This window comes from Homo sapiens, chromosome 12 (assembly GCF_000001405.40).
Source record: "Homo sapiens chromosome 12, GRCh38.p14 Primary Assembly".
Lineage (NCBI taxonomy): Eukaryota > Metazoa > Chordata > Mammalia > Primates > Hominidae > Homo > Homo sapiens.
Genome location: NC_000012.12, coordinates 1,025,680 through 1,038,397, shown reverse-complemented (window position 1 = coordinate 1,038,397; position 12,718 = coordinate 1,025,680). Strand labels below are relative to the sequence as shown.

The window sequence follows — 12,718 nt, the reverse complement described above, 5'->3', positions numbered from 1 at the left end:
AGAGCGAGACTCCGTCTCAAAAAAAAAAAGAAAAAACTATACTTTAAAGGGTGAATTCAATTATATCTCAACAAAATTGTCATAAAAGAAGGAAAGGAGATGGGGAGGGAGAAAAAGGACAAAAGGACCTGGGAGGATGGGGTAAACTCCCTAAATGTTTCTCCACAAAGTACCACTTGATGCCATACCCCCTTGGGCGTTGTGAAGAGTTCAATGACTTAGGGCACCCACGCAGCTGTCAGAAGGCAATCTGACCTCCCAGTGACCACTTCTAGTGATGATGAAGCATTACTTTGTGAAACTGTTCTTTCATCAAATGGAAATAGTTTTTTTCTTTTTCTTTTTTTTTTTTTGAGACGGAGTCTTGCTCTGTCGCCCAGGCTGGAGTGCAGTGGCGCAATCTCGGGCTCACTGCAAGAGCCGCCTCCCGGGTTCACGCTATTCTCCTGCCTCAGCCTCCCGAGTAGCTGGGACTATAGGTGCCCGCCACCAAGCCCAGCTAATTTTTTGCATTTTTAGTAGAGACAGGGTTTCACCATGTTAGCCAGGATGCTCTGGATCTCCTGACCTCATGATCTGCCCGCCTCGGCCTCCCAAAGTGCTGGGCTTACAAACGTGAGCCACTGCGCCAGGCCGGATATAGCTTTTTTCAAAAATCCATTCCTCCTTGCAGCCAAAATTTAAAACCTTAATATTTGTGCTCATTTTTCCAGTGTTTGTTCTCCAAAAACAATACTAACAAAGAAAGAAAAAAGGAAAAATCTCCTTCAACATGGCTGTCCACCAAATACTTAAGAGTATAATTAAAATGTTGCAAGTCTTCTCTTCTTGAGTTCCTTCAGCCATTTCTTATAAAGTATGGTTTCTAAGCACCTCCTATACTCTTCTGGGCATAACAGTGCACTCATAACAGATGGCAAGTTCCAGAGGGTGGTACGGTTTTAAATGTTAAAAAATGAAACTATGACCTCCACTGATTAACATTAATGTAACTAAAAACTAAACCCATTTTCTGATTTCTTTTGCACAATAAAGAGGACCCCCAAATTATATTTAAGATGCTATCTGCAAATTTGCTGTAAATTAGCAAATCTCTAAAAACAATTTTATTTCACTGAGATGAGATCACACACTACACTGCACTATGAGATCCAAAAAGACAGAGGAAAATAAAAAGTGAGAGAGAAACTGCAATTATCTGGCAAACTCTGCCCTTATTTCTTCATATAAGCCCTATCTCATATTTGTGCAACATTTTTATTAGCTCTGCTTAATTATTTTTCATACTTCACTACATTCCAGATAAGCAAACTTACCAACTGTAAAAGAAGCAAATTTCCCACACTGATTTAAATACCTTCACCTATGATCAAGACCTGATAAATGCATAGTTCAAATTTCTGTAAGCCATACATGTACAAATTTTGCTTCTCGAAATGATTGTTAACTCCCCAAAAGGAACATTATCCATTTTACATTTGATTTCATTTTCTCATGGCACTCTGCATAGTGCCTTTAACACATTCCCCTTCTGAAACAACAAAAAAGATTAAACTTATCTGGGCAATAAACAAGGATACCAATTTATCTACATCTCCTTGTTAAAACAGAATTATCAAAAAGAAAATTAAAACAATAATCTAAGACATAGATCCCAAATTTTAAGATCAGACTTTAAATGACAGTGAAACAACTAGCAACCTCATGACAAAGTTTATTTAAGGCCAGGAGCAGTGGCTCACACCTGTAATCCCAACACTTTGGGAGGCCGAGGTTGACAGATCACCTGAGGCCAGGAGTTTGAGACCAGCCTGCCCAACATGGCGAAACACCATCTCTACTAAAAATACAAAAAATTAGCCGGGCGTGGTGGCGTGCACCTGCAGTTCCAGCTACTCAGGAGGCTGAGGCAGGAGAATCACTTGAACCTGGGAGGTGGAGGCTGCACTGAGCCGAGATCGCACCATTGCACTCCAGGCTGGGCAACAAGAGCAAAACTCTGTCTCAAAAAAAAAAAAAAAAAGTTTATTTAATGGCAAATAATAATGGCTTTTATCATGCGGCAAATCAAGATACAACCTAAAATTATATAAATGTTAATAGTCAAAAGTCTCCAAATAATGAGAAAAAAAAATGACAAAGAATTACACAAGGTTATCTTTTTGCAGTTCTGAACTAGAAATTCTCGATTCCTAAGTAAATGAGCAACATAAAAATCAGACTCCAAAAAGAGAAGAAACACAACACACAAGGCAAAAAACATTAAATTCACCTGCCGTCCTATAATATTAAACAGTATTTTGTTCATGAAATATTTCAATGACAGTGCTTTAAATAAACATTTTTAAAATAAGCTTCCAACTAAATTTAACATACAGAATTATTTCAAGGCATAATTTAAAAAGTATGATGATAATCTGGTTAAATGCTGTTTAGAATTTAAAAAAAAAATCATCCAAAGTATTTTTTTTTTTCTGAGACGGAGTCATGCTCTGTCTCCCAGGCTGGAGTGCAGTGGTGCGATCTCAGCTCACTGCAAGCTCCGCCTCTCGGGTTCACGCCATTCTCCTGCCTCAGCCTCCCGAGTAGCTGGGACTACAGGTGCCCGCCACCACACTCAGCTAATTTTTTGTATTTTTAGTAGAGACGGGGTTTCACCGTGTTAGCCAGGATGGTCTCGATCTCCTGACCTCGTGATCCGCCCACCTCAGCCTCCCAAAGTGCTGGGATTATAGGCATGAGCCACTGAGCCCGGCCCCATCCAAAGTCTTAGTAGCTCTGCAGTTCCACCAAGCTCACAGCTAGATTTTCATTCTTTGTCAAACATACACCAAAAACCTTCCTGACTCCCAATTTTAAAAAAGAAAAAGAAAAAGCCTTCCCTGTTACATACTATTCTAACTCTCCAACCAGCAGTATTTGAAAGTTCAGTAACAAAAGGATGAGACATAAAAATTGCTGAGTATTTATATCAGAAACATCTTCTAAAAGAACTCCATAATAAAGAACCACACATATCAAGTAATTCTAAGCAAATGCGTCTTTACATCTAATAGGATCCTAGAACAAGATCTCTATGGTCCAATCAGATCCAATATTTAGAATGGACCTAAATCCCCAGTCTCAAACTGAAATGGGGAAACCATTTAATTACTGTAAATCCTATTAAACCAATCTTCTTTATCAAGTGGAAGATGCCTGACCTCTGAGGGCTATGGAGGGTATAATGAATGCAGAGTTTAATTAGGCCCCACTGCTGGCTGACTATAATCTATTAATTAGCATTCTCTGTCTCTGTATCTCATTGCAGTGTTTCACTTTACTTTAAAATTGCACCCTTCGTTTTTTGGACCAAAGTTATACAATTTTAGGATTGTGTAGTAATTACAGTGGGTATACGGAGAATGCATCGCTGCCAGCACTGGTGTTTAATTAGGGCAAGGGGTGGAATCTAGATAAGGCGGTGTTCACCATTCTTCAGCACATATGGGTTTTTTGGCATGAAAATCCTGTGGACTGTTTCACTGGAACTGAAGTATTCAGAAGATTCAAATATTTTGTCTTTGAATGCAGACTGATACTTAGAAAGGATATTACGTATTTTCCACACAGCTTCTGAAGTACAGGCATAAACAATTGCTTCAATTATTCCAAAATGAACAAGTACGCCAATAACTTTTTTCATTAAAATTGACATTTCTGAGTCACTTCATAATAAAAACTATCTTAGTGAGGGGCATAGTTTCAGCATCATCAACAAGGTATAACGGTGACTAGCTAATTCCAGGTATAATGGTGATAAATCCAGTAACTTCAAATCTACTCTAAATTTGATACACACACACACGTATAATCTGACACACACATATACTGTCAATCCATTCTTGAAAAGTAGAGCCTTTAAAAAGAAGTGTTTATTCACATGCAATTTTTCCACAATATTTCTTAATTATTTTAAATTTTTATTTATTTTTTTATTTATTTTTAAGAGACAAGGTCTCACTATGTTGCCCAGGCTGGACTCAAACTCCTGGACTCGAGGGATTCTCCTGCCTCAGCCTCCTGAGTAGCTAAGACTACATGCATATATTACCATACCCAGCTCACAATATTTCTTATAATAAAAAATTATGTCTCAGCCACTTTTCAATTAAATCAAACTGTGATTTTTTATTAACAATACATTTGAAATTGTATAATATTCAAATATGATACACTATGATAATTATCTAAATACATATAAAGAATCTCATATTTGGGCACTAGTATACACCATTACATACTCCAAATTTACCAATCTCATTTTTACCAAGAAAAAGAAAAAGAACCCAATACAACCCCTAAAAATACAGATACAGTTTCCAAGACCTAGGTTATATTGATACTTAACCACAAAACTAAAGAAAGCAAACTCATTTTTTTCTCCTGATATTTACAATTCAATACCAAACTATAAAAACAGAATTTAAGCTGGGCATGGTGACTCATGCCTGTAATCCCAACACTTTGGGAGGTTGAGGCGGGCAGATCACCTGAGGTCAGGAGTTCGAGACCAGCCTGGCCAAAATGGCAAAATCCCGTCTCTACTAAAATACAAAAAATTAGCCAGGCGTGGTGGCACATGCCTGAAATCCCAGCTACTTGGGAGGCTGAGGCAGGAGAATCGCTTGAACTCAGGAGGCGGAGGTTGCAGTGAGCTGAGATCGTGTCACTGCACTCCAGCTGGCGACAGAGCAAGACTCCGTCTCAAAAAAAAAAATACAAAAATTAGCCGGGCATGGTGGCACACGCCTGTAATCCTGGCCACTCGGGAGGGTGAGGCAGAAGAATCGCTTGAACCCGGGAGGCAGAGCTTCCAGTAAGCCGAGATTGTGCCATTGCGCTCCAGCCTGGGCAACACTGAGACTCCAGCTCAAAAAAAAAAAAAGGCTGGGTGCGGTGGCTCATGACTGTGATCCCAACACTTTGGGAGGCCAAGGCAGGTGGATTACCTGAGGTTGAGAGTTCAAGACCAGTCTGGTCAATGTGGTGAAACTCGTCTCTACTAAAAATACAAAAAATTGGCCAGGCACGGTGGCTCATACCTATAATCCCAGCACTTTGGGAGGCTGAGGTGGGCGGATCATGAGGTCAGGAAATTGAGACCATCCTGGCTAACACAGTGAAACTCCATCTCTACTGAAAATACAAAAAATTAGCTGGGCGTGGTGGCAGGCGCCTGTAGTCCCAGCTACTCAGGAGGCTGAGGCAGGAGAATGGCATTAACCCGGGAGGTGGAGCTTGCAGTGAGCCGAGATCACGCCACCACACTCCAGCCTGAGCAACAGAGCGAGACTCTTGTTTCAAAAAAAAAAAAAATTAGCCAGGCATGGTGGCACACACCTGTAATCCCAGCTACTCCAGAGGCTGAGACAGGAGAGTCACTTGAACCCTGGAGATGGAGGTTGCAGTGAGCCAAGGTTACGCCACTGCACTCCAGCCTGGGTGACATAGAGAGGCTCTGTCTCAAAACAACAACAATTAAAAAAAAAAACCTGAGAATGTACTATCATTTTATATTTAGGAATTATTCTTTTTGGTGTTGTACTTCAACTGACAAATTCAACTAATTTACTTGGTAGTGCAATGCAAATTAAAAACTAAAGTCAGTATTGTACTGACAACTCAAAAATGTCAACTGAAGAAAATGTACTTCTCTGCTCTGCTGTCATATATCATTTGAACATTTATCTGGTGCATCAATGATTCACAAGGTGAAGAGACATCAAAATCACCTGGAGGGCTCTTTGTAACTAAACATATCTAAAATTTTAAACACCCTTTTCCCCTACACATGCCCCATCCACTGAGGGTCCCTGTCACAGTTAATGATCATTACGAACAAGAGTAGGTCACATCCCTGAGATATAAAGTGGTAGAATAAAGGATGAGACACACTGAGCAAATGGTCCCTTGTTTCTTTTCCTTTCATGGTTGAGCTCAAAAGTGCCACAACAGAACCATCACAAATTGACAAACAGGCAACAGACAAGTTTAAGACTTAGATTTACACCCGGCGCAGTGGCTCCTGCCTATAATCCCAGCACTTTGGGAGGCCAAGGCAGGCGGATCACGAGGTCAGGAGTTCAAGACCAGCCTGGCCAACATGGTGAAACCTCATCTTTACTAAAATACAAAAATTAGCCAGGTGTGGTGGGGGGCACCTGTAATCCCAGCTACTAAGGAGGCTGAGGCAGGAGAACTGCTTGAACCAGGACCCAGGAGGCAGAGGTTGCAGTGAGCCAAGATCGCATCGCTGCACTCCAGCCTGGGCTACAGAGCGAGACTCCATCTCAAAAAAAAAAAAAAAAGAATTAGATTAGATTTACTAAATTCTAAAGATCCCAAGAGTGGTTTCTCATCAGAACCACCAGAGAAGCTTGTTCGAAACATAAGTTCCTGGACCCCATCTCCAGAGATTGTACTTAGCTGGTATGAAGGGAGGCCTGGCAATCTATGTTTTAACCAAATATGCCTGTTGATGCTGATGTTTCTGAGCCAGCATTTAAGAACCCTGTCCTTAATTTTAGACCCCATCAGTGGGGTCTATTTTAGCTTTTTTTCTTTCTTTACACATTCTTAAAGTCTTAATGACTCAAACTCAAAGAACTTTCTAAGGAATATTTTTTAAAGGACAATTTCTCTTCTTTAAAGAAGCTAAGTCTCTAAGAAAGAGATTTAAGTATATTAAAACATTCAAATTTTGAGTAGTGACAACTTAATAATTGATTAAAAAGTAAAAGCAAAGTAGTTTGAAGTTATAATGTATCTGAGAAAGAATAAAATTATCATAATTTCTAATTACTTAGAAATCTGATTCAAATGAATTCAAGGTTTTTAATTTGCGTTGTACTACCAAGTAAATCTGAAGAATTTTGGCCCTGTGATATTAACTAGAATAGATACAATAGAATGGTAGGAGGCATTAAAAATAACGATTTAGATATATATTAGAGGCCTCTAATATACAGTAGAAATGTTGTTAGCTAAAAGAAGGTCACAGCATAATACCAACAGTATTCCATTCAGGTAAATCCGTTACGTGTATATGCATAGAGATATTTCAGTAAAGAGAAATGTCAAAATGTTAACAGTGGAATAGCAAAGTTGTCAGTAGATGGGAGGATCTGGAATATATTTTGCTTTCATATCTATGCTTTTCTGTTTTATATTTATGAACAGAAAAATTGAGCTATTTTTATAGCTGAAAATGTGTCTGGAGCTTTAACATACAAAATGTAATGTAACTAGAGATCTTCAAGTAGCCAAAACAGTAGATCTGAATATCTGGACTGCATAATAGTAAGAATGGTAAGACAATCAACCGAAATCTTAAATTAGATTTACAGTCATATGTTGCTTAATGACAGAGATATGTTCTGAGAAAGGCGATTTCATCACTGTGCAAAGATCATCAAGTGGACTTATACAAATCCACCTGGTACGGCCTACCACACACCTAGGATATAGGATATAGCCTACTGCTTCTAGGCTACAAACCTGTACAGCATGTTACTGTATTGAATACTGTAGGCAACTGTAACACAATGGTAAATATCTGTGTATCTAAACACATCTAAGCATAGAAAAGATACAGTGAAAACACTGTATTATAATCTTTGTTTTTTGTTTTGTTTTTAGAGACAGGGTCTCACTCTCACCCAGGCTGGAGTACAGTGGCCCAATCTCGGCTGACTGTGGCCTCGACCTCCCAGGCTCAGGTGATCCTCCTGCCTCAGTCTCCCAAGTAGTACAGGCGTCCATCACAAAACCCTGCTAATTTTTTTTCTATTTTTTTGCAAAGACAGGGTTTCACCATTTTGCCCAGGCTAGTCTCAAACTCCTGGCCTTAACCAATCCGCACCCTCTCAGCCTCACAAAGTGCTGGGAGTACAGGTGCGAGCTACCACACCTGGCTAACACTATATTGTAATCTTATGGGACCACAGTGATACATGAGGTCCATCATTGACCTAAACATCTTTGTGTGGCAGATGACTTCTTCATCAGAGACACAGATCATTTCTGATTGCTTCTTTACTTCTTAGTATCATTTAAGAACACTGCAGAAATTGATATCAGTTGCTTTCTTTATAATTTTTATTAACCTAATCCAAAAATAAAGTGTAATACCAACAATGAGGTAGCTAATTACATATTCTCCTTTAAGAGTATAAGACAGCTTTTTTAAGGAGGAAAAAAACTCAAGCTTGCAAGTTTAAGAAAACTTCTAAAAGTACAGACAACTTGGGCCATGGGGGAAAAAAATGTGAAAAGAGAAAAATTCTAAAAGTCTTTTAAACAAAAAGTATGGGCCTGGCGGTGGCTCGCGCCTATAATCCCAGCACTTCGGGAGGCCAAGGCAGGTGGACCACCTGAGGTCAGGAGTTTGAGACCAGCCTGGCCAACACGGTGAAACCCCGTCTCTACTAAAAATACAAATATTAGCCAGGCGTGGTGGCGGGCACCTGTAATCCCAGCTACTCAGGAGGCTGAGACAGGAGAATCACTTGAACCTGGGAGGTGGAGGTTGCAGCGAACTGAGATTGCGTCACTGTACTTCAGCCTGGGAGACAGAGCAAGACTCCGTCTCAAAAAAAAAAAAAAAAAAAAAGTATGTTTAACATTTTAACTAGTAGAGCCTGAATATGATTTGTTCACATCTTTGGAGTCATCAGCTTCCTCACTGAATGTGGCATGGCTATCATCAAACATCAACTATAACCTGGAGGAGCACAGAAAAATAAGTGAATATTTCCTGTAGCTAATGTGACAGCACTTAGCTCTCAAATTGCAAAGCCCATAATTATAATGCCCAGTCATCTCATTTATTTTCTACAAGTAAACAATCACACCAAGTTGCCTTTCCTCCACCTTAAATGTAAAGAATTACAGAACGAAAAGCTACAAAAGCATCCTGAAGTTAAACTTCCATGAATGGCAACAAAAAGAACAGGTACTTATTGTTTGTACTTAATAAATACATCATCAACATTAACTTTTTTTTCTTTTTTGAGACAGAGTCTCACTCCAGACTGGAGTGCAGTGGCGGGATCTCAGCTCACTGCAACCTCCGCCTCCCAGGTTTACGTGATTCTCCTGCCTCAGCCTCCTTAGAAGCTGGGATTACAGGCACACGCCATCACACCTGGCTAATTTTTGTATTTTTAGTAGAGTCAGGGTTTCACCACGTCGCCAGGCTGGTCTCGAACTCCTGACCTCAATGATCCGCCCACCTCGGCCTCCCAAGTGCTGGGATTACAGGTGTGAGCCATTGCACCCGGCCAACATTAACTTTTTAAAAGTAATTTCTGTTCTCAGCTGACAACACTGACTTATCCTGTGATAGTCATTTTGTTTTGTTTTTAAGAATGACTTTTTGACATTATGACAAATCTTAATGGTATACCTTACATTTAAGTTACCTACTCTAAAATACATTTGGTAATAGATATTAGAGAGTGTGGCAAAATTATACTCTCAGAAGAATTGGAAAAAAAAAAAAAAGATAACATATGCTGAAAGGAAAGACACGAAGAGAAAGAGAAACCAGAGAAAAGAACCAAGCAAGAATGGGAGCAAGGAGACATGGGCAGCTAGAAGAAAACAGGGTACAGGACCAAATTTGGAAAGGGCTGAGAAATGGAGGACACAAAACAGTAAAATCAATAGGAAAAAGGAAGATACATATACTACGAAGGGAAAAATCTAGGAAAGGGGAAAAAAAGGCTATTTCATTTATATACATGAATTCAGCCAATAAAGGTAAACACACGTAGAACTTACCTGGTTTTCCTCCTGTACAACTCTGTACTGTTCCTTCCAAATGGTGATTTTGGAAGCTTCATCTTTTCTCAGGGCTCGTTCCTTCTTCAGCTCTGGGCTCCAGAAGGTCTTGATGCTATTCATTGAAGAACTCAATTTGCTCTCCTTTACTTCCACATCCTTCCGCAAGAGATCATTTTCTCTTAATACTTCCTTCAGCTGTGTCTGCAGATCCATGATTGTGTTATCTCTCGCCTGACGAAGGGAGTGAGGTACAGTGGATGCCATACTCACAGGAGGGAGGTGATGCTCTCCAAATGCTATGGTGTCACTAGCAACCCCACTGCTAGCTATATTGGGGCTACTACCCATAGCAGTCATCCGAACACCGTAAGGCAGACGTCCCCCAGAACGGCCAAGTGTCATGGTGCTTTTAGGTGTTTCTGAACCCACATTTTCATGGTCACTTAGATACATAGGGCCAGAGGTGGCATAGGCAGCATTTAAAGATTGTATATTTTCCATTGAAAGGGTTTTCCCACTGCCACCTCCAACACTGCTTCCCGAACTCCCTCCCGTACTGTTGGTTCGACGGTGACCCAAGCGAGGGGAACGTGGAAGCCTGGGTGAACGCCCAGGGCTCTGGCTGCTCGGCTCCACCTTCCCAACAGAGCGGGCACTTCCATACATGGTTGCAAGGTCAGGAAAGGTGTGAGCAGAAAATCAACAACAACAACAACAAAAATGGGAACCTTGTGAGGTGTCTCTATGGCTACAAGTTGGTTTAAGGTTAATCAGAAGAAGGTCCCCAGCTGTCCAATCTTGAAGAAGTATCTTACACCATATCTGTAATGAAAAGATCACACATTAAATCCTCCAATAATAAATATTTCCCTTCTCAGAGACTTTCCATTACCCCCACTTAAAGAAGATCTAGCCCTTCTACCATGTATGTACTCACGCATTCAGAATGTGATTACAGCATAATGTACTCATAGTAAACAATATTTTAGAGATATTTTAGATGTCTCAAAACTGAACGCTGAAAACATACCATGCAACTGGAAAACAAACAAAAAAAGTGCCAAGTGCAATGGCTCATGCCTATAATCCCAGCGCTCTGGGAGGCCAAGGTAGGAAGATCGCTTGAGGCCAGGAGTTCAAGACCAACCTGGGATACATAGCAAGACCCTGTCTACAAAAAAGAAAAAGAAAAAAAAACAAGAAGTATAAAGATTGACAAGGAAAAGATTAAACTCAATGTCTGAATATCTGACTTGCTAACTGAAAACCCAAGATAATCAACTGACAAGTTATTAGAATAACAGAACTCAACAAACTGGTCAAACTCAATATCAATATATAAGTATCAATGTATACATCAGTAGTAACAACTAGAAAATGCAGTTTTTAATTTAAAGGAAATTTTAAATCCCATTCACAACAGCAACAAAACCATAAAAGTACTTTGATGTAAATCAACAGAAATGTGCAAGAATTTTGGGGGAAAAAAACTATAACATTTTACTGAAAGACATGAAAGAACACCTAAACAAAGTTATCTGTGTTCATGGATGAGAAGACAAACACTGCTAAGATTTAGTTCTTCCCCAACTACTTAGCACAATCCCAGTGAAAAATCTCTACAGGATTTTGCTAACCAGCTATAGATCCCTTCCTTTCACAGGTGTTGAAGGATTTTTCAAGTAACTCAACAAGCTGACTCTAAAATTCAAATGGAGAGTAAAGATACAAGAGTAACCAAACAATTTAAAATAGATGAACAAGGAAGGAAGACAGCCCTCAACAGCAACATAAATTACAAATCCATAATTCTTCATTTGTACTGCAAAAATCCAAAAACCTCTGAAAATAAGATTTTCCTTTTAACTCATCTAGCAGCAAACCTTGACCTGATCTGAGCTTACTTACTGTTTATATGTATCCCACATAGTGTGACTTCATATATTTCATTAAGAAAACAATGTGTGTGATTACTGGATACTACATAATGTCCACTAAGTATTACTGGAAAAAATTCCTGACAACAAAACCACATCTGACCTGCAAGGTTTCTTACAAAGTATTGTAGCCTTGTAAAACTATAATAACGAAAACTGTATAGTACTAGCCCAAGAACAGGGTCTAAATTATATATGGGAATTTAATATATGTTAAAAGTAACGTTTCCAAACAGTGAGTGATATGGTTTGGCTGTGTCCCCACTCAAATCTCACCTTGAATTGCAATCATCTTCATGTATCAAGGGTGGGGCCAGGTGTACTTAACTGAATCATGGGCGCAGTTTCCCCTCTACTGTTCTGGTGGTAGTGAGTGCGTCTCATGGGATCTGATAGTTTTATAAATTGGAGTTCCCCTGCACAAGTTCTCTTGCCTGTCGCCATGTAAGACATAATTTTGCTCCTCATTCGCCTTCTGCCATGATTGTGAGGTCTCCCCAGCCATGTGGAACTGAGAGTCCATTAAACCTCTTTCCTGGCAGGGTGCAGTGGCTTACATCTGTAATTCCAGCAATTTGGGAGACCAAGGCGGGTGGATCACCTGACATCAAGAGTTCGAGACCAGCCTGACCAACACGGCAAAACCCAATCTCACTAAAAGTACAAAAATTAACCAAGCATGGTGGCAGGTGCCTGTAATCCCAGCCACTCAGGAGGCTGAGGCATAAGAAGCTTGAACCCAGGCGGCAGACATTGCAGTGAGCCGAGATCGCGCCACTGCACTCCAGCCTGGGTGACAAGAGCGAGACTCCGTCTCAAAAAAAAAAAAAAAAAAAAACTTTCCTTTTTAAATTACCTAGTCTCGGGTATGTCTGTATTAGCAACATGAGAACAGACTAATACAGTGAGGAAATGAAAAATCACTCAATAAATGAAGTTTAAATACTTGTTGC

At 39.9% G+C, this 12,718-nt stretch overlaps 1 protein-coding gene across 53 annotated transcripts in view; it reads right to left on the bottom strand.

Annotated features, from left to right (window-relative positions):
• Positions 1-12,718, bottom strand: part of ERC1 (ELKS/RAB6-interacting/CAST family member 1) — a 505,975-nt gene that overhangs the window by 457,536 nt on the left and 35,721 nt on the right. For all 53 annotated transcript variants that reach the window (NR_027948.3, NR_027946.3, NR_027949.3 and 50 more), the window contains one exon: positions 9,826-10,650. Coding sequence is in view for 49 of the 53 variants with exons in the window: in XM_047428566.1 (XP_047284522.1) it covers positions 9,826-10,494 (669 nt within the window). In the remaining 4 variants the exon portion in view is untranslated. Of the gene's footprint in view, positions 1-9,825; positions 10,651-12,718 lie in introns of those variants that run through there.